The sequence below is a fragment of the Homo sapiens genome, chromosome 4 (genome assembly GCF_000001405.40).
Source record: "Homo sapiens chromosome 4, GRCh38.p14 Primary Assembly".
NCBI classification, from domain to species: Eukaryota; Metazoa; Chordata; class Mammalia; order Primates; family Hominidae; genus Homo; species Homo sapiens.
Genome location: NC_000004.12, coordinates 142,104,015 through 142,125,447, shown reverse-complemented (window position 1 = coordinate 142,125,447; position 21,433 = coordinate 142,104,015). Strand labels below are relative to the sequence as shown.

The following is a 21,433-nucleotide window of genomic DNA, read 5'->3' as shown; positions in this document are numbered from 1 at the left end:
TAGACAAATAGGCAAAGTTTAGATAATGGAGAATCTTTCATGAGTTTGAACTTTATTTATTTATGAATGCTTTAGTGTTTTTTTTTCAAAATATTTTAAGAAGTGAGGAGTGAGTGGTACAATCAGATACAAACTGATTATAAATGTTTCTGGCAACACTGTTGAGAAGGGAATTCAGTAGAGTGTGACTGGAGGAAGGGAGATGGGTTAGGGAGTAGTCCAGGAAGTAATCCAAGGGAGAGCAATAAACAACGATGGGCATGGACAAGGAGAAGATGCATATTGATGGACTGTTAAGAGTAGTAGAACTAATTTAATGACCAAGTTAATGTGAAAACTGCAAAAGAGGAAGTCCAGTAAAACTTCTGTTTCCAGTATGAGAAAGATTTGATGGCACCACTCACTAAGATACAGGTAGTGCACAGATTAGAGATGAGCAGAGAAGAGAGATCTGCTGCAAATATGTTAAATGCATCCACTTGGAGAGGTCTGATGGGTGGCTGCTTATGGACATTGTGGAGTTCAGGCGAGAGATTTAAATTAGAGATCTTCAGCTCTAATCTTTGTGAATCCTTAAGAATATGTCTAACTTACTGAAAAATTAAAAATAAGTTGGAAGTTGGTTCTGCATTATATTCCAAGACCTTCCTTCATCTATTGCACTGTTCTTACACCCCCTTCCCCCAGAGGACTGGTATGAACAGTTGTATCCCCTCATCCTTACCCTGAAGGACTGCATGGGAGAAGTGGTGAACCGAGCCAAGCAGTCCCTGACATTTGTGCTCCTTCAGGAACTTGCGTACAGCTTGCCCCAGTGTCTGATGCTGACGCTAAGAAGAGACATCGTCTTCAGCCAAGCAGTAGGTGCCTGTTGTTATTGTTAGTACAAAACAATGCCGGATTGTTAACATCCTATCCTTGATGATGAATAGAATTCTTATTGGGACAGCTTTATTTTTAAAAAGATCCTTAAAGTTTTGGTATCCCATGTTTCTTATTCACGATAAATATCAGCTGAATATCCTAAGCAAAGAGTTTATGAGACCTTAAGTATTTATTTCTGAAAAGAGATGGCCAAGTCTCTAACATGTAAATTCTGCTTCACAGGGCATGAAGTCCGTGAAGGAAGTGGTCATCATCTTTGTATTATGCTCTGGGATCTACATAAGTGTAAGGGAAGGGACTGTTGACTTGCACTCCAGGTGACAAGCTAGGACTTGGCAAAGGGGATCTGTTTGCAGTCGCTTATTTGTACAGCTCCCCCATGAATCCTGGGACAGGATTTCACAATTATCTCTTATTTTGTTTTTAAAATAAGTTTTCAGGGCAGTAAGGCTCGAATAGGAGGTTTGACAGGGCCACCTTCCTTGCCTACACCCAACATGATTCATAATGCCAAGGCCTGCCTCCATCACGGTGGGTGTGCTGGTGCCTTCCTTCTCCCCACCTGCCTCCATCCTCATGGCTGAGTTTTATAGACAGGACATATGGAGAGAAAGAAAAAGAAGACTTCTCTTTCTAAACATTCTAGGAAAAGGGAATATTTTAACCAAACTGTCGCTTTCCCCCACTATTTCATGAATGGTCCAGTGGCACATGAAGCTAACCAGGTGTCGGAAAATATGCTCTGCCTTATACATACATGTTTCGTCATTGTGTTCTTTTAATGACCCTGTGAAATGATTATTATCATCTCTATTTTACATGTACAAAAAATAGTAAGATTTGGAAGTGCTTAAGTGTTTATGAATTTACTGTTAGAAATGGTAGATATAAGATTTGAAGACCTATCAACCTTACTCCTGTCCATGTTCTTTTTCCCTTTGCACTTCTACCTTCCCCAAGACTTTTATACACAGCAATTCTAGATCAAAGACTGTCAACTTGTTTTACTATGCCTACCAAATAGTTGTAGTTTTGTTATACATACCTGATAATCGAATCTGTGATGCCTCAGAAGTCTTAAAATATTTCAAAATAAAACAAATACGTTTGCTAACTGCAGTAAATCTCATCAATATTTTTTTTTCAGCTTGCTGGATTGGTTTGTGGTTTTATCATCAAATTACAGACAAGTCTGTATGACCCAGGCTTCCTACAGCAGCTTCACACAGTGGGGTTGATAGTACAATATGAAGGACTGCTAAGTACATACAGTGAGTATTGCTTTAGTACAAGTTAAAATCACATTTCTATTCAGAAGGACATTTAATCCAGAAATTTTTCAAGAAAACATAAAAATAAGTAAACCTTTATTGTGCCAAGTATTACAAAAATAATATAACTTTCAGTTTTTTGCATTCACCTTGTAACTTACTTTTGCCTCCTATTATGCTTTGAAAATGGAATTATAGATTATTTCAGAGTGGACTCCTGAGCAGCCATCTGGCTTTTTTAATATAAAAGGCTCTGTGCCAACATAGTTGCAATGACTGGATTTTAAAGTCTCAACCCTGTAATGTCTAGAACTGCACTGTTCAATATAGTAGCCTTGTGTGACTTTTGGGTAATTGAAATGTGTCTAGTCCAAATCAATAAGTACTAGATATGCATACCAGATTTCAAAAACTAGTTTTAAAAGATATTTTATATTGATAATTAATAATTTCATATTAATTTACAATTGAAATGGTATTTTGGATATACTGGATTAAGTAAAATATATTATTAAAATTAATTCTACCTTTTTAATTTCACTCTTTTAAAAAATGACTACCAGGAAATTTAAAATTATATATGTGGCTCACATATTTCTGTTAGAGAGTGCTGATCTGGAATCTTAATGATCTCCCTGTCAGGCTTCATTTGTTAATGTATGGAGATGCAAAACTAGCATGAACCTGGGTCAGTGATGATAAATTCAGCTACCTCTGTTATTTCTAGACAACAGATATCAGTCCTGCCAGTAGAAAGAAAGGTGCACAAATCACAAAGGGGTTAAAACACTCTCTCCAGCCTCACAGCAAATGTCCACGTTCTTCCTTCCCTCAAAGGGTAGATTGACTTCTGAAGTCCATTGAAATGGTTCTCATTTCACTAAGAAACACCTTCAGCCTCTGAGGAAAAGTGTCTAGAGTAGGTTCACTGCATTCAGAAACTCATTCAATAAAATGCTAGAACAAATTCCAGCAGGGAGGCATAGTAGCTAGTGACATTTTCCTCAAATGTTTGTTTGTAGCTAAGTGCCTTTTCTATTGTTTAGGCGATGAAATTGGAATGCTAGAGGACATGGCCGTTGGCATTTCCGATTTAAAGAAAGTTGCATTTAAAATAATTGAAGCCAAATCCAATGATGTGTTGCCAGTTATAACAGGAAGACGGTAAGCAGTGCTCACTTCCTGAAGACCAGGCTTTGTTAGACATGTCGTGTTAACTCCTGTCAGAGGAGGCAAGGAGAATTCAGGTTTGATTTGGGAATATTTCTTTTGTTTTTTTTCTTTTCCTTTTTGGTAAGAAATACACATGGATGATATGATAGGGGACAATCTCAAAAAACTCCTGGAAGTCTCATGAATGTTTTAAATTGTAGTGAGTTGAGTATGGCAGTACTCTCCCACAAAATACAAGAAATTCAAAATAATAGCCTGCATGAGAACATTTTTCTCCTTATTACTATCTCATCCAAAGCTCTGGGTGTTTTTACTTTTGCGGGAGTTGTTCAGTTAATAGACTCATAATTCTTGAAATGACTTTAAATTAAATTCAGTTAAAAGCAGCAACATTTTAGAAAAGATATATTTCTGTGTCAGGGGAATATACCACCATTTTTCTTAATTATTTTTGACAATTCACTCTCAGACTATGAGATTTCCGAGAAGGGTTTTCAATAAATAGCTTCGAAGGTCAGTGTATGATAGGCAAAATGTCAGAAATAATTAAGAAAAATGATGGTGTGTAGAACAGACCTCCAATAGAAGAGGTACATCTTATAGTAAGTTGTCTCAATCAGAGGTCCAAACTATTCCGGTGTTAGTGCTTTTAATTGCTGCATGAGGATATTTAAAATTTGAAACATTCTGGGGTCATGTTCAAAACATATGAACATACAAAAGGGAGAGCCTTTTCATGCTAGAGAGAGATGCAAAACACACTGAGTATAAAGTTCAAAGTAAACTTGTTTTCCTGTTGATAGTAAACATATAATAATTATTTTAAATGTTATGAAGGATACCCAGAACCACATAGTTGACTGAAAGGTGACTTTCTTACTCACAAAAAAACCCACATCCTCAGAAACTAAATATTTACCTAGAATTAATGCTTAACTTGCCATTCATTTGGGAGAAAAAGAATAAAATTGCTCATACGCACACCTGAAAAACAGTACAATTCTATATTTCTCTCAAGTTTACTATCAAAAGTGAAACACTAACACTTATATCACAATGTTTAAGGGAAGCTTACCAGGCCATTTAGTGTAGGCAGAGTACAGCATGCTTTTTCTGAGGAAGTTCTTCAAACAGTATTGAAACTCAAAAGTGATCATGCAGGTAGGGGCATGGCTCCTAGAATGATGAAGTGAGCAGCTTAGCACACCCTCTCTCCAAAAGGAATATTACAACTGGAAATAACAATCCAAAACAACCATTTTAGGATAAACAGAATAAATTGGATGCACACCACAAATTCAGAAGTACTTATTTGTGAGAAACTAGTGAACATTGGGCAGCATCAGTAGAAGTCTGTGGCATTTTGCTGAGGGCTGCTCCCATCAACCCTGGCCCTGTGAACACAATTTCCTAGGGCAAGGCCATTAACACCAGCAGCTTCACTAACAGAGGGGGCTGACTTGACTTGGATTGGAGTAGGAAATAGCACAGTCCTGAAAGTTGTCAGAAATGGTGGTTTAGATTAACGAGTCTAACTTATAATCACATCGAAAAGAATAGGTATAAACTTAACAAAGTTAGTCTGAATGTTGTACACAGAAGACACAAAATATTGCTGAGAGAAATTAATAGGATCCACTAAATGGAGAGACAGCCTGTGTTCATGGATTAGAAGACTCAATATTGTTTAGTAATTCTCCATAATTGATCTATAGATTCATTGCAATCGCTATCTAAATCTCCGTAGTCTTTTTGCAGAAATTGGCAAGCCTAACCTAAAATTTATATGTAAATGCAAAGGACCCAGACATTTTGTAAAAGAAGAACAAAGTGGAAAAACTTACACTTTCTGACTTCACAAATTACTACAAAACTATAATAATCAAGACAATGTAGTATTAGCATAAGTATATAATGTAGATTAATAGAACAAAATTTACTGTCCAGAAATAAACTATTATCTTTAAAGTCAATTGATTTTAAACAAAGCTGCCAAGGTAATTCAATGGAGAATGGAGAATCTTTTCAAAAAATGATGCTGGGACAATTGGTTTATCTATATGGAAAGAGAAGAATTTACACATACACAAAAATTAGCTCACAATAGATTATAGATCTAAATGTAAGAGCTAAAACTGTGAAACTTCTAGAAGAAAACTCAGAAGGAAATATTTGTAAGTTGGGTTTAGGTAATGAGTTCTATATATATACATATATATACACACGTATATATACGTATATATGTATATATATATAGAACTCATATATACGTATATATGTATATATATGTGTATGTGTGTGTGTGTGTGTGTGTGTGTGTGTATATATACTTTAAGTTCTAGGCTACATGTGCACAATGTGCAGGTTTGTTACATGTGTATACATCTGCCATGTTGGTGTGCCGCACCCATAAACTCGTCATTTACATTAGGTATATCTCCTAATGCTATCCCTCTCCCTTCCCCCCACCCCACGACAGACTCCAATGTATGATGTACCCCATCCTGTGTCCAAGTGTTCTCATTGTTCAGTTCCCACCTATGAGTGAAAACATGCAGTGTTTGGTTTTCTGTCCTTGCAATAGTTTGCTCTGAATGATGGTTTCCACCTTCATCCATATCCCTACAAAGGACATGAACTCATCTTTTTTTATGGCTGCATAGTATTCCATGGTGTATATGTGACACATTTTCTAAATGCATTCTATCATTGATGGACATTTGGGTTGGTTCCAAGTCTTTGCTATTGTGAATAGTGCCGCAACAAACGTACATGTGCATATGCCTTTATAGCAGCATGTTTTATAATCCTTTGGGTACATACCCAGTAATGGGATGGCTGGGTCAAATGGTATTTCTAGTTCTAGATCCTTGAGGAATCGCCACACTGTCTTCCACAATGGTTGAACTAGTTTACAGTCCCACCAACAGTATAAAAGTGTTCCTATTTCCCCACATCCTCTCCAGCACCTGTTGTTTCCTGACATTTTAATGATCGCCATTCTAACTGGCTTGAGATGGTATCTCATTTTGGTTTTGATTTGCATTTCTCTGATGGCCAGTGATGATGAGCATATTTTCATGTGTCTGTTGGCTGCATAAATGTCTTCTTTTGAGAAGTGTCTGTTCATATCCTTTGCCCACTTTTTGATGGGGTTGTTTGATTTTTTTTCTTGTAAATTTGTTTAAGTTCTTGTAGATTCTGGATATTAACCCTTTGTCAGATAGATAGATTGTAAAAATTTTCTCCAATTCTGTAGGTTGCCTGTTCACTCTGATGGTGGTTTCTTTTGCTGTGCAGAAGCTCTTTAGTTTAATTAGATCCCATTTCTCAATTTTGGCTTTTGTTGCCATTGCTTTTGGTGTTTTAGTCATGAAGTCCTTGCCCATGCCTATGTCCTGAATGGTATTGCCTAGGTTTTCTTCTAGGGTTTTTATGGTTTTAGGTCTGACATTTAAGTCTTTAATCCATCTTGAATTAATTTTTGTATAAGGTGTAAGGAAGGGATCCAGTTTCAACTTTCTACATATGGCTAGCCAGTTTTCCCAGCACCATTTATTAAATAGGGAATCCTTTCCCCATTTCTTGTTTTTGTCAAGTTTTTCAAAGATCAGGTGGTTGTAGATGTGTGGTATTATTTCTGAAGGCCCTGTTCTGTTCCATTGGTCTATGTCTCTGTTTTGGTACCAGTACCATGCTGTTTTGGTTACTGTAGCCTTGTAGTATAGTTTGAAGTCAGATAGCATGATGCCTCCAGCTTTCTTCTTTTGGCTTAAGATTGTCTTGGCAATGCGTGCTCTTTTTTGGTTCCATATGAACTTTAAAGTAGTTTTTTCCAATTCTGTGAAGAAAGTCATTGGTAGCTTGATGGGGTTGGCATTGAATCTATAAATTACCTTGGGCAGTATGGCCATTTTCACGATATTGGTTCTTCCTATGCATGAGCGTGGAATGTTCTTCCATTTGTTTGTGTCCTCTTTTATTTCGTTGAGCAGTGGTTTGTAGTTCTCCTTGCAGAGGTCCTTCACATCCCTTGTAAGTTGGATTCCTAGTTATTTTATTCTCTTTGAAGCAACTGTGAATGGGAGTTCACTCATGATTTGGCTTTCTGTTTGTCTGTTATTGGTGTATAGTAAAGCTTGTTATTTTTGTACATTGATTTTGTATCCTGAGACTTTGCTGAAGTTGCCTATCAGCTTAAGGAAATTTTGGGCTTAGACGATGGGGTTTTCTAGATATACAATCATGTCATCTGCAAACAGGGACAATTTGACTTCCTCTTTTCCTAATTGAATACCCTTTATTTCCTTCTCCTGCCTGATTGCCCTAGCCAGAACTTCCAACACTATGTGTTGAATAGGAGTGGTGAGAGAGGGCATCCCTGTCTTGTGCCAGTTTTTGCCTATTCAGTATGATATTGGCTGTGGGTTTGTCATAGATAGATCTTATTATTTTGAGATACGTCCCATCGATACCTAATTTATTGAGAGTTTTTATCATGAAAGGCTGTTGAATTTTGTCAAAGGCCTTTTCTGCATCTATTGAGATAGTCGTGTGATTTTTGTCTTTGGTTCTGTTTATGTGATGGATTATGTTTATTGATTTGCATAGGTTGAAGCAGCCTTACATCCCAGGGATGAAGCCCACCTGATCATGGTGGATAAGCTTATTGATGTGCTGCTGGATTCGGTTTGCCAGTATTTTATTGAGGATTTTTGCATCAATGTTCATCAGAGATATTGGTCTAAAATTCTCTTTTTTTTGTTGTGTCTCTGCCAGGCTTTGGTATCAGGATGATGCTGGCCTCATAAAGTGAGTTAGGGAGGATTCGTTTTTTTTCTATTGATTGGAATGGTTTCAGAAGGAATGGTACCAGCTTCTCTTTGTACCTCTGATAGAATTTGGCTGTGAATCCATCTGGTCCTGGACTTTTTTGGTTGGTAGACTATTAATTATTGCCTCAATTTCAGAGCCTGTCATTGGTCTATTCAGGGATTCAACTTCTTCCTCGTTTAGTCTTGGGAGGGTATATGTGTCCAGGAATTTATCCATTTCTTCTAGATTTTCTAGTTTATTTGCATAGTGGTGTTTATAGTATTCTCTGATGATAGTTTGTATTTCTGTGAGATCAGTAGTGATATCCCCTTTATCATTTTTTGTTGCATCTATTTGTTTATTTTCTCTTTTCTTCTTTATTAGTTTCGCTACCGGTCTGTCAATATTGTTGATCTTTTCAAAAAACAGCTCCTGGATTCATTGCTTTTTTTGAACGGTTTTTTGTGTCTCTATCTCCTTCAGTTCTGCTCTGATCTTAGTTATTTCTTGCCTTCTGCTAGCTTTTGAATGTGTTTGCTCTTGCTTCTCAAGTTCTTTTAATTGTGATGTTAGGGTGTCAATTTTAGACCTTTCCTGCTTTCTCTTTTGGGCATTTGTTGCTATACATTTCCCTCTACACACTGCTTTAAATGTGTCCAGAGATTCTGGTATGTTGTATCTTTGTTCTCATTGGTTTCAAAGAACATCTTTATTTCTGCTTTCATTTCGTTATGTACCCAGTAGTCATTCAGGAGCAGGTTGTTCAGTTTCCACATAGTCAAGCAGTTTTGAGTGAGTTTCTTAATCCTGAGTTCTAGTTTGATTGCACTGTGATCTGAGAGACAGTTTGTTATAATTTCTGTTCTTTTACATTTGCCAAGGAGTGCTTTACCTCCAACTATGTGGTCAATTTTGGAATAAGTGTGATGTGGTGCTGAGAAGAATGTATATTCTGTTGATTTGGGGTGGAGAGTTCTGTAGATGTCTATTAGGTCTGCTTGGTGCAGAGCTGAGTTCAATTCCTGGATATCCTTGTTAACTTTCTGTCTCCTTGATCTGTCTAACGTTGAGAGTGAGGTGTTAAAGTCTCCCATTATTATTGTGTGGGTGTCTAAGTCTCTTTGTATTTCTCAAAGGACTTGCTTTATGAATCTGGGTGCTCCTGTATTGGGTGCATATATATTTAGGATACTTAGCTCTTCGTGTTGAATTGATCCCTTTACCATTATGTAATGGCTTTCTTTGTCTCTTCTGATCTTTGTTGGTTTAAAGTCTCTTTTATCAGAGACTAGGATTGCAACCCCTGCCTTTTTTTGTTTTCCATTTGCTTGGTAGATCTTCCTCCATCCCTTTATTTTGAGCCTATGTGTGTCTCTGCATGTGAGATGGGTCTCCTGAATACAGCACACTGATGGGTCTTGACTTTTTATCCAATTTGCCAGTCTGTGTCTTTTAATTGTAGCATTTAGCCCATTTACATTTAAGGTTAATATTGTTACATGTGAATTTGATCCTGTCATTATGATGTTAGCTGGTTATTTTGCTTGTTAGTTGATGCAGTTTCTTCCTAGCCTCAATGGTCTTTATAATTTGCACTGTTTTTGCAGGGGCTGCTACCAGTTGTTCCTTTCCACGTTTAGCGCTTCCTTGAGGAGCTCTTGTAAGGCAGGCCTGGTGGTGACAAAATCTCTCAGTATTTGCTTGTCTGTAAAAGATTTTATTTCTCCTCCACTTATGAAGCTTAGTTTGGCTGGATATGAAATTCTGGGTTGAAAATTCTTTTCTTTAAGAATGTTGAATATTGGCCCCCACTATCTTCTGGCTTGTAGAGTTTCTGCCAAGAGATCTGCTGTTAGTCTGATGGGCTTCCCTTTGTGGGTAACCCAATCTTTCTCTCTGACTGCCCTTAACATGTTTTCCTTCATTTCAACTTTGGTAAATCTGACAATTATGTGTCTTAGAGTTGCTCTTCTCGAGGAATATCTTTGTGGTGTTCTCTGTATTTCTTGAATTTGAATGTTGGCCTGCCTTGCTAGATTTGGGACGTTCTCCTGAATAATATCCTGCAGAGTGTTTTCCAACTTGGTTCCATTGTCCCTGTCACTTTCAGGTAAACCAATCAGATGTAGATTTGGTCTTTTCACATAGTCCCATATTTCTTGGAGGCTTTGTTGGTTTCTTTTTACTCTTTTTTCTCTAAATTTCTCTTCTCACTTCATTTCATTCATTTGATCTTCCATCACTGATACCCTTTCTTCCACTTGATTGAATCGGCTACTGAAGCTTGGGCATGCATCATGTAGTTCTTGTGCCGTGGTTTTCAGCTCCATCAGGTCATTTAAGGTCTTCTCTATACTGTTTATTCTAGTTAACCATTTGTCTAATCTTTTTTCGAGGTTTTTATCTTCTTTGTGATGGGTTTGAACCTTCTCCTTTAGCTTGGAGAAGTTATTACCGGTTTAGGTAATTAGTTCTTAGACATGACACAAAAATCAAGACCCATAAAAGAAGAAAATAGATAAATAGGACTTCATCAAAATTATGAACATTTAAGCATCAAAAGAACACCATTAAGTAAGTAAAAAGACAAGCCACAGATTAGAAGATAATATTTACAAATCCTATATTTGAAAAAGGACTCATATTCAGAATATGTAAATAAATGTTACAACTCAATAATAATGACACCAAAAACCTAATTTAAATATGGGCAAAAAGTTTGAATAGCCGTTTCACCAAATAGGATATATGAATGATTTATAAGTACAAGAAAACATATTCAACATAATTCCTCACTAGGAGAATAAATTTAAAATCACAGATACCATTTCCTTCACACTAGAATCATCAGATAAGAGCAAATGTTGGTGAGGATGTGGAAAACCTGGAACCCTTGTACATTGCTGGTGGAATTGTCACTTTGAAAACAGTTTGGCAGTCTTAAAAAGTTAAATATAAAATTACCATATGACTTTTAGACTTACCCCCAAGAGAAAATGAAACATATCTCCATACCACGGCTCAATCCTGCATGTTAATAGCAGCATTATTAATAATACGCCGAATCATGGAATAATCCAAGTGTCTATCAACTGATAAACGTGTTGACAAAAAGTGATATCGATACAATAGAATTCTATTCGCTAATTAAAAGGAACAAGCTACTGATACATGCCACAACATGGATGACTTCAAAAACATTATGCTAGGTGAAAAAGGCCAGATAGAAAAGATTACATACTGTATGAATCAATTCATAGGATATATGCAGAAAAATAAAATTCATTCATAGGAAACAGAGAGAAAATAGATGTGTGGCTTTCTGGGCTAGCGGTGGTAGTATAGCTGACTATAAACAGGCACAAGGAATCTTTTTAAGTTGATGGAAATGTACTAAACCTGGATTATTGTCATGATTGTATAATTCTATAAATTTGTTGAAATTATGAATTATATACTTAAAATGCATGAATTCATATCAATTTCTTAATAAAGCTGGTAAAATTATCACAAAGAAATTATATGTTTCACCTTCAGAACAAGTTTAAAGCATGAACTGACTCATTGATGCTTCTCATATTCCTGAAAAACTGTTAGCCAGGCTATTGTAAATGGCATTGAGAGCAATTAAACAAAGAAAAATAATGCGCTCACTCATCTGAAGGTAATGCTAACATCCCTGCTTGCTAAATTCATGATATTTACCAGGTCTCTATTTCATAGGTAGAAAGAAACAAGTCTCAGAGTCAGTGGTCCACACTGTTTATCAATAATGTTATACTAGGAGAAATTAAAAAGATTTTCACAAAGAGGCTCACTATTTGCCCTATGCTTATTTCCCCAGTGCATATCTTACAATGCCACCACTCTATATAGTTCTTGAAACACATGGATTTTCCCAACCTCTGGGCAAAGCTTTCTAAATTTCTATATTCAATTCACACTGTATCAGAAGATGACAGTTTTTAAAATATGTAAGTAGCTACTCTTATTAATCATATTGTACTAATCCTAACTTAAATTTTCAACATTAAAAAATAGGGGTAGTTTTTAATGGACATTTCCAGTGAAAAATGCTCCTGTGATATGTTAATGTTTCAAAATGACCAGAATTCCTGAAAGTTTCACTCTAAGCAATAAAACCATTACCTTTCCATCAGCGCATCATAAACAGAAACACTCATCAATAGTGATAACAAACAAGCCATACCAAAAAATCATATAAATTATTTGGTTTATTTAGCTTCACTGTATTGAAACAGCAGTCATTAAATTATTGCTCTTATTCTTAGGACTGATTGAGTTTTAAAAATAATTAAATAAAGAAAAAAAATTGAGGCTATCAATGCACATGACCCTGGGTGTACAAAAATGAACCGAACATTTTTTTCCTGAAGGAATTCAGAGTGAGGTAGAGAAATCACACACGTAAATGAATTCTTACAATTTTTATGTCAAGTAATTTAATAAGGAGATGAATGAATGAGGAATATAAGCATATAGCAACAGAAACCTAAATCAGTGCTATATTCCAACCCTTTTAATGTTTTCTTCCAATAAATCTAAAATAACACAAAACAAATAAGTAATGTTTCTTCCCTTTGTCCTCTGCCTTCTTTAGAGAACATTACGTGGTAGAGGTCAAGCTTCCAGCCAGAATGTTTGAGTCACTACCTCTACAGATTAAAGAAGGACAGTTGCTTCATGTGTATCCAGTACTTTTTAATGTTGGAATCAATGAACAGCAAACTCTGGCTGAAAGGTAAGCTTTGGTGTAAGAGTCGCACTTGAGATTTTTCTTTGTTCCTTTTAAGCATATGATGAGAAGTCCCATGTATCTGCATGTAGAACTAACATCAATTTATGAGTAACATTTTTCTTTTTATCAGTATCAAATTATTTGAGATAGAAGGTAAATTTTCATATTTAAGGAATCCTGGCCCAAGCCAAATTTAAATGTGGCAAAAATATTGAGGAAAATCTTGATGCCAATACTAAATAAAGCATTTGCATGGATTAACCTTCTTTGTTTCCAAATACCTATGTGTATATTAAATTTTAGAATTCATGTTTATACATATCTCAATATTGTAAACAGATAATAGCATCAAGTTTTTAAATCTAAAACAGAGTTTTTCTCTTTTTTGTGTTTATTTTAATGGTTATTATTTGGTAATGTTAGCTTTTTTAATAATGACTTGCTCAGTCAGCAAATGATTGTACTGTGATCCCATAAGTCAGTTAAAAAACACTTTTTTTTTGCTGGTCGTGGTGGCTTACGCCTGTAATCCCAGCACTTTGGGAGGCAGAGGAGGGTGGATCACCTGAGGTCAGGAGTTCAAGATCAGCCTGGCCAAGATGGTGAAACCTCGTCTCTACTAAAAATACAAAAATTAGCCAGGCGTGGTGGTGATCACCTGTAATCCCAGCTACTCAGGAGGCTAAGGCAGGAGAATTTTTTGAACTCGGGAGATGGAGGTTGTGTTGAGCTGAGATCACGCCACTGTACTCTAGCCTGGGCGGCAGAGCGAGACTCCATCTCAAAAAAAGAAATAAAAAAAAATCTCTTTTTTTTGAAAGACTTATTTTTACATCTTACATGGCTCACATATAGAGATTACAGAAAACGTAGATAACAGTTAAAGATCATAGAACAGGCCAGGGTCAGTGGCTCACACCTGTAAATCCTAGCACTTTGGGAGGCAGAGGCAGGTGGATCACCTGAGGTCAGGAGTTCAAGACCAGCCTGGCCAATATGACAAAACCCCAACTCTACTAAAAATACAAAAATTAGCTGGGCATAGTGGCGGGTGCCTGTAATCTCAGCTATTTGGGAGGCTGAAGCAGGAGAATCGCTTGAACTGGGGAGGCAGAGGTTGCGGTGAGCTGAGATTGCACCATTGCACTCTAGCCTGGGTGATACGAGCAAAACTCCGTCTCAAAAAACAAACAAAAAAAGATCATAGAACATACTTTTGAAATATTTTAGAGAAAGAAGTTAGCATCTTGGCTGTAGGGGCTGACTGGAGAAGTTCCTTCACAGGCAACAATTTTGGGAGTTTGATAGTCTTTGGTATTATAATATTTAACATGCTTTCTTATCTATAATTCACTCTCCAAGTGACCCCTGCCCCACAGGTAAGTTTAAAAGTACCTAGCATATTCCTTGCCTTGATAATTAAGTACTTTTGAAAGCTAGTTTCTAGGATTAGATTATATTCTATTTATCTATATATATATTTGTCTCAGCAAATTCAATGTTTGAGATGAATGATATTCCTGAGCATGAACTATACAACTTGGAGCAGGGGAACAGCATTCCAAATTGCCTCTTCTTCGGTACACTACAGTAGAGTGTTTTGAGTTGGAATTAATAAGGTCTGTGATTGTGATCTTGAGAGAGATATGAGACTCTTCCATTTACAGACTTTTCAAAGACTAGTCAGCATTATATTTTCAAGGCTTCTAAGATGGACTAATTTGCATCATTCATGTTATTGTGATTGTTTTAGTTGTCAGTCATTTTATTTAAGAAGTGTCCTTTCCTTCCTTCTCATCTCTCTTGCATACTAAGAATGCACTTTTTTCACACATGGAAGCTGTACAAGACACACAAGACTGGAAAAGGAGCAAAATGGCAAAGTAGGGAAACCCTGAGAGAAGCAGGAGGCCTGAATTTGAATAGCACTCTGACATCAACCGTTAATTTGAGCATATTGCTTACTCTCTGTTCTCTGAACCTCCTTTTTCTGATTCTGAATTTTGAGCTTTACCAGCAACATCTACATGTTAGATATGCTATGTAATCTAGAAGTAGTATTTCACTACTGTTTACTCAAATTCAAAATGTAGATGTTGTATATGACCATTCTTAGATAAATAAATACTATTAGTCTGCTTGGGCTGCTGTAACAAAATACTGTAGACTGGGTGGCTTAAACAACAGAAATTTGTTTCTCATAGTTCAGGAAGCTGGGAAGTCCAAGGTCAAGGTTTCAGCCAATTTGGTTTCCAGTGAGGGCTCTTTTTCTGGCTGTCAGACAACTGACCACATTCTCCCTATATGCTCACATAACCTCTTCTTTGTGCCTGTGGAAAGAAAGAGCCCACTCTCATAATCTCATTTAACTTTAATTACCCCTTAGAGGCACTGTCTCAAAATACTGCCATTGCCATTTCGGGCTTAGGGCTTCCACATATGAATTTTAGGACAACACAAACATTTATTCCATAACACTAATGTTACTCCAGCAAGGATGGTATTTTTTAAATACCAGTTGATTACAGTGTCTGAAAACATTAGAAGAATATATTTCAGATTCTATGGAAACTCCTCTAGATTTTTGGGGTCTGTATCCCTGTTCTCCAAGTTCAACTCAGTATAGATACTGAACACTGAGTTTATACCAAGCACTGCTCTGCCAAGCTATGGGACATAAGAGGAATACAGGGTAACAAGAAGCGTGGAATCGGCTTCCTATCCTGAAAGAAGGTGTAATCCAGTGAGGAAGACAAGTCAACAAACATTACATTACAGTTCGGCTCATGCAATAATTAAAGGTGTGGAAGGAACAGGAATAGTGCATAAAACAAAGCAATTCACAGAAGGGAGATGAATCCGTGGGGGAAGTATCATAGAGGAGATGAGCCAGGCTTTAAAGATGAATCAGAATTAATCAAGCTATCAAGAAAAGTAAGACATTCAAGTCAAGAGTGGATAGAATGTTAAAAGTCCCAAAGGCATTGAAATACTGCTGCTAAGGGAGGAGAGTGTAACTACATTCCCACAAGAGGTTTTGGAAGCCTTTGTGGAAACTTAGATGCTAAACTAGGGAGACTATAAGACATCGTCCTTTCAGGGAGGAGAGAAGCATTGAAGTTCAGTGAGTTGATATGATGAAATATAGGTTAGATTAATTTTTCCAACATTTCATTTATTGCATGGTGCAATGTATGGTATGTAGTTGATGTTAAATATTTTTTGTATAGATGAATTCATTTTTCATTGAGACTGAATGATCTGACAAGGGTCCAGAAAGTAAACTGGAAGTGAAAGAGACTAGGGGCATAGTTCTGTGGTATTTGGGAAGCTTTAGGAGAGTCTAAACTGGATATGATTAAATATCTTAATATATAATGACAGTGGTTGAGAAAAAAAAAAAAGGAAGGGTTACCAGAGATAGGAAAAGACTGAGGAATAGTGGGTAAGGTGAGGAAAAGAGGAAATCCAAAATGATGCCTAGATTTTGAACCTGAATTAATGCCAAAATATTGGGGACATGCTTAGCAATGGTTCAAAGGAGGAAGCAGTTTTAGTTTTGGGTTATGTTATATTTGAAGTGGAGTTGGAAAATGCACACTGAAATTTTCTATTCACACCTAGAAATAGAGATTTTGATGAAGATACATATTGGAAGCCATTTACATAGCATCCTTTTATAGGGAGACAAGTGGGTTTTACCTTTGAACTTGGGAAATTCTCAAAGATAACACAAGGTTAGTGACACACTGGTAGACAGGTTTGTCTTGACACCTCTTGGTGGAAGACTACGTGTACAGAACCATTTGACTTCATGGTATGAACGAAAAAAATGTCGGCAGAAATGATCTACTGTCTGGGAAATCTGGCTCTACGTGTGCCTACAGCAGTTGATAGTGTGGGCAAGACTGCGTGCAGCCCAGTGTCCAGTGCTGGTCTTCTGGTCCCCTCCCTCAGCTGCCACGAGTGAAATGGATGGTTGGATAGATAGTAAGAAAAGTTTTTTAAAACACATACAGGGATGTAGCCCTGCCACAGAGGTGTGGAGTAGGATAGGGAAGCTAATATCAATTATGTCCATGCACAGAGACTGTTGTTTTATACATGGTATTTTATCTAGGTTCACATTTGATGATTGTGAGGATATTTGAGGTGTTAGAAGCGATTAGTGAAATCAGGGCCAGTGGAGATTGGAATATGTTTGAAATCACCATTGTGAATTGTAGCTTGAAAAATGAGACAGACTCTTTCCTTAGGAAATTATTTTCTAATCTATTTAAAAAGGAAAGGTAAAATGTGTTACTTTTTGGTACCGTTTTATAACCCACAGCTGTTTTCTTTTTTCTGTTTGTAGGTTTGGAGATGTCTCTTTGCAAGAAAGTATTAATCAGGAAAACTTCGAACTTCTACAAGAATATTACAAGATATTTATGGAAAAGATGCCTCCTGATTGTAAGTATGTGAGTTAGAGAAGACAGCAATAATAGCTTCTTGATTATAAATCTTTAGAAGAGGTCAGACATAGAGGTCAGTGGACTACAGAAGCAGGGGTAGGGATGTGAGAGTGATTTTGAAATTATCTGATCCAAAAAGACTGATTGCCAAGGTAGCATGGCCAACACCTGCATCATTCTCTTGATTGCCTTCTTGAATGTGTCCTGCTGTTCATTCTGAGACATTAATTTCATTGCCACTGGAAAATGCCAAATAATAAAAATATGGACCTTATAATTAGACATTTTAATTAGTCTGATAAAAATTTTGTATAATTCTTAACCATATAAAAGACTTTACTAAAGATTTAAGTCTCCATTTATAAGCAACATCAGACATAGGACACACATGCAGGAGAACATCAGATATAATACCAGTTGAACAAAATAATATTAAGTCAATGTGAATGAGGGAACTAACTTATTAAATATATGTATTGCAATATTTTATGCAAAAAAAGTTAAGGCACCCAAGCCTTTAAAAATGTGTTTTACACATTTGGAATTTGTTTTGGAGGGGGCCATTGTCCAATTCTACATTTCTTTTCCCCATCGTATTAAGCACATAACATTTGAGCAGTCCAAAATCAGAGAGCTGGGAATGTATTTGGAATTCATCTATAAATAGTATAAATATGTTGAGATATTCACAATGATAAGAAGCTAAGTTTTAATAAAGTAGGAAAATTATAATATTTTAACCAAAAACTGTAATCAAAGTCTACTCGTTACTATTTGTTCTGTAATCATGAACAATTTGCTCACTGATTTATATTCTGTTATTTAGTGTGAAATAGCTCAGGTGGCAGAGTGTTTATGTCTTCATAACCTAATGAATGTGGTATCCAAATATTGCAGTGGCATATGCGTGCCCATGTGTGGATAGTTAAAAATGTCACTTGCAGATTTTATATTATGATTTATATTATTTTATGTCAAATCAAATATTATTTTTTGCCAAAATGAATTTAAGTACATGGAGATTCTTTGGTAGCAAGCATACTTTAAGTATTAAATTTGTTAATTACCTGAAAAGTTAATAATGTAAGTAAAACTATTTTTCTTTAGCAATTAATGAAAAAAAAGAGTTTATTATAACTTGAATGTTAATTATTTTTTAACAAATTACTTACAATTTGGAAAAAAAGTCTCAGAATTTTTGTCAGTAGCTTGATAAAAATTATATTTCTTATATTAATTCTTGAAAAGTATATGTGGTCCCCAGGCCAGCGGCATCAGCATCACCAGGAAACTTGTCAGCAATGCAAATTCGCAGGCCACACTGTGAATCTACTAAACTCTCCCCGAGTCTGTGTTTTAATAGGCCTTTGAGGTGGCTTCTGATTCATGCTAATGTTTGAGAACTAATAATATGCCATCCTTACTCAAAATATATATTACAAAGTAGATTGTTGGCAAAGTCTGTGAGGACTTTCAGTGCTATACTTAAAACAATCATATTGCTAAAGAAATATGTATAGGTACTGTTGAAATACAAAATAATTCTATATTCAAGTAACTTAAACTCTTCATAGGAATATAAGTTTAAAAAATTTTAGCCCGGGCAACATGGTGAAACCCCATCTCTACAGAAAATACAAAAATTAGCCGGGCATGGTGGTATGTGTCTGTGATCCCAGCTACTCAGGACGCTGAGGGGTGGGAGTATGGCTTGAGCCCGGGAGACAGAAGTTGCAGTGAGCCAAGATTGTGCCACTGCACTCCAGCCTGGGTGACATAGTGAGACTCTGTCTCAAAATAACAACAACAACAACATGTGATTCTATATATTGCCAATTAAATATAAACAAGTGTTTTTCAAAACATGTAAATATATTTCTCTCCTTGCAAACAAGACGGAATTTTGTATAAAACCAATTGCATTTCATTGCTTACACAGTTGTCTGAACATACTGGATTGTTTTCTGATATTTTGTTTCCTGTATTTTTGAGACAATTCTATTTGACACAGAATGGAGTTGTAGTATGGCTGTGGTTGTGCTCCATAACAAAAGTACAACTCCAATCTATACAATTATGATGACATATGGGTTTATTCCTCCTGTAGACATATTGCAAGCCAAAGAATGATTTGAGTTCTGCTCTATTTAAGGAAAAAACATAAAGCTTTTATAAGAGTATGAGTAGAGGTTAGGCCATTTGCTAAGAAGGAAAGAACTATCATGCTGGGTCATATCCATAATCCATATAATCTATTATTTTCCTTCTTTCATAGTGAAATCAAGGGATAATTTGTGTCAATGTTAAAGGATAGGTTAATTTCTTAAACATATTGCTGTCACTTTTTAATTCATTATGGATGTGCTGACTATTAATTTACTGATTCTCTTTTTAAATGATTTATGAAGTAAGTAGGTGAATTCTATTTTTGAAGTAAAAAAGTGTTTCTTCTCCAAAGATTTTCTTAACTTTAAGGGATATCCCTGACTTTTGTGATATCAGGACTTAATGATAAATTAATTTTAGCTTATATATTCACTCCCAGTCAAGTGGCTCTCATCTTTTTACTCTTCTCATATAGAAGCATTTGTGGACTAAATATTCTTCCCAAAATGTCTTCTAATTCTGTTATATTTGTAGCAATTTTAGTTTATAGTCACAATTCAGCAATCTACAAACATGGAATAGTTTTATTTCAGTAACTACTACCAGTTTTATGAAGCACTCATCAACCTTTAGTAGTTAGTAATTGCGGATAGGGGAATGGATAATTAAAGTTGCCAATCAACATGCCCTTTCAATATGTTTAGCATGGTCTAGTGCTTTTAGACTATTTAAAATCTCAGTTTCATTTGGAATAAATATTCAGCCAAGTTCAAATATTATTATCCTCCACCCCCATCTTCCTTGCAACTGTAGAAAGACCATTAGTGGAAGTCTTGGTAGGGCAGGGTGGCCTCTGTGTCTGTCTTTCTTTTGCGGAATTCATGGGATCTAGAACTGGGATGTGCCTGTTACAGAGAAAGAGGCCACATATAGGAATCCCAAAAGTTCCTTTCCTGTAAATCTTTGCTGAATCTTCATCTGCAGAAAGTACTATATTGTTGGTCCTCAGTATATGTGTGTTCTGTGTTGGCAGATTCAATCAACCCCAGATAAGAAATATTTGAAAAAAATAAAAATAAATATGCAATGACAAAAATATTATTAAAATGTTTAAAATATAGTATAACAGCTATTTACATAGAATTTATATTGCATGAAGTATTATAAGTAATCTAGAGGTAATTTAAAGTATAGGGGATGATGTGCTTAGGTTATTTATAAACACTGTGTCATTTTATATAAGAAAATTGAGCATCTGTGATTTTGGTATCTTCTGGGGTCTTGGATCCAATCCTCCTTGGGTACCAAGGGACAACTTGTATATCTGATGGACAAAGCTGTTGATGACTACTCTATCTGGGCACATGTATTGTGTGTTTCTCCCACCATATCTCCTTTGTATGTGATGCAGCTCTCAGACAGTTGTTCTGCTGACTGTAAGGCAAAAGAAATCTTCAGAAGTTACTTCCCCTCAGGCCCTACCTGTGATATTCACTGGCCCCTTTGATCAGCCTGGGAATTCCAGTGTGGCAGTTATTAGTGCTTCTCCTTTTTGTCACTCTAATCTTCCTGTTGGGCTTGATGATCTCAGACATCCTTCACATTCCCTTTTGTGCCTACCTAAAGCATTCAGACACTTACATTTTGTGTTAGAAATAAAATAAAATAGTACGTCTGTAAATCACTAACACAAACTGCTCCGTGTTTAAAGTCACCACTGCGTCTCATACATGATTCAGGGCTTCTGAAGGAAGTGGATAAAGCCCCTTCTGTCTTCCTCTTCCCTTTAAGGGAGGAGGGACCAACTGTCAAAGTATTACAGCTAAATTATCTGTCCTTTCTCTAATAATGCCCATATCTTTTGTGCTTTATCTGAAACAAAGAAGAAGGATATTGTCATACGGCTCTAATGAAATTGTACCATAATGATTCCTATGCTAGCACTATAAGAGTGAGCTTACTAGCACTGT

The 21,433-nt window shown here is 36.1% G+C and overlaps 1 protein-coding gene across 60 annotated transcripts in view; it reads left to right on the top strand.

Moving 5' to 3' along the window:
* INPP4B (inositol polyphosphate-4-phosphatase type II B) overlaps nucleotides 1–21,433 on the top strand; it is an 823,376-nt gene that overhangs the window by 721,088 nt on the left and 80,855 nt on the right. For 51 of the 60 annotated variants that reach the window (NR_169617.1, NR_169599.1, NR_169623.1 and 48 more), the window contains 5 exons: nucleotides 688–860; nucleotides 2,033–2,156; nucleotides 3,203–3,320; nucleotides 12,766–12,906; nucleotides 17,258–17,355. The exons of 3 other annotated variants lie outside the window; for them this stretch is intronic. Coding sequence is in view for 48 of the 57 variants with exons in the window: in NM_003866.3 (NP_003857.2) it covers nucleotides 688–860; nucleotides 2,033–2,156; nucleotides 3,203–3,320; nucleotides 12,766–12,906; nucleotides 17,258–17,355 (654 nt within the window). In the remaining 9 variants the exon portion in view is untranslated. Of the gene's footprint in view, nucleotides 1–687; nucleotides 865–2,032; nucleotides 2,157–3,202; nucleotides 3,321–11,681; nucleotides 11,802–12,765; nucleotides 12,907–17,257; nucleotides 17,364–21,433 lie in introns of those variants that run through there. 6 more of the 60 variants (NR_169615.1, NR_169618.1, NR_169616.1 and 3 more) reach the window with 5 other exon arrangements.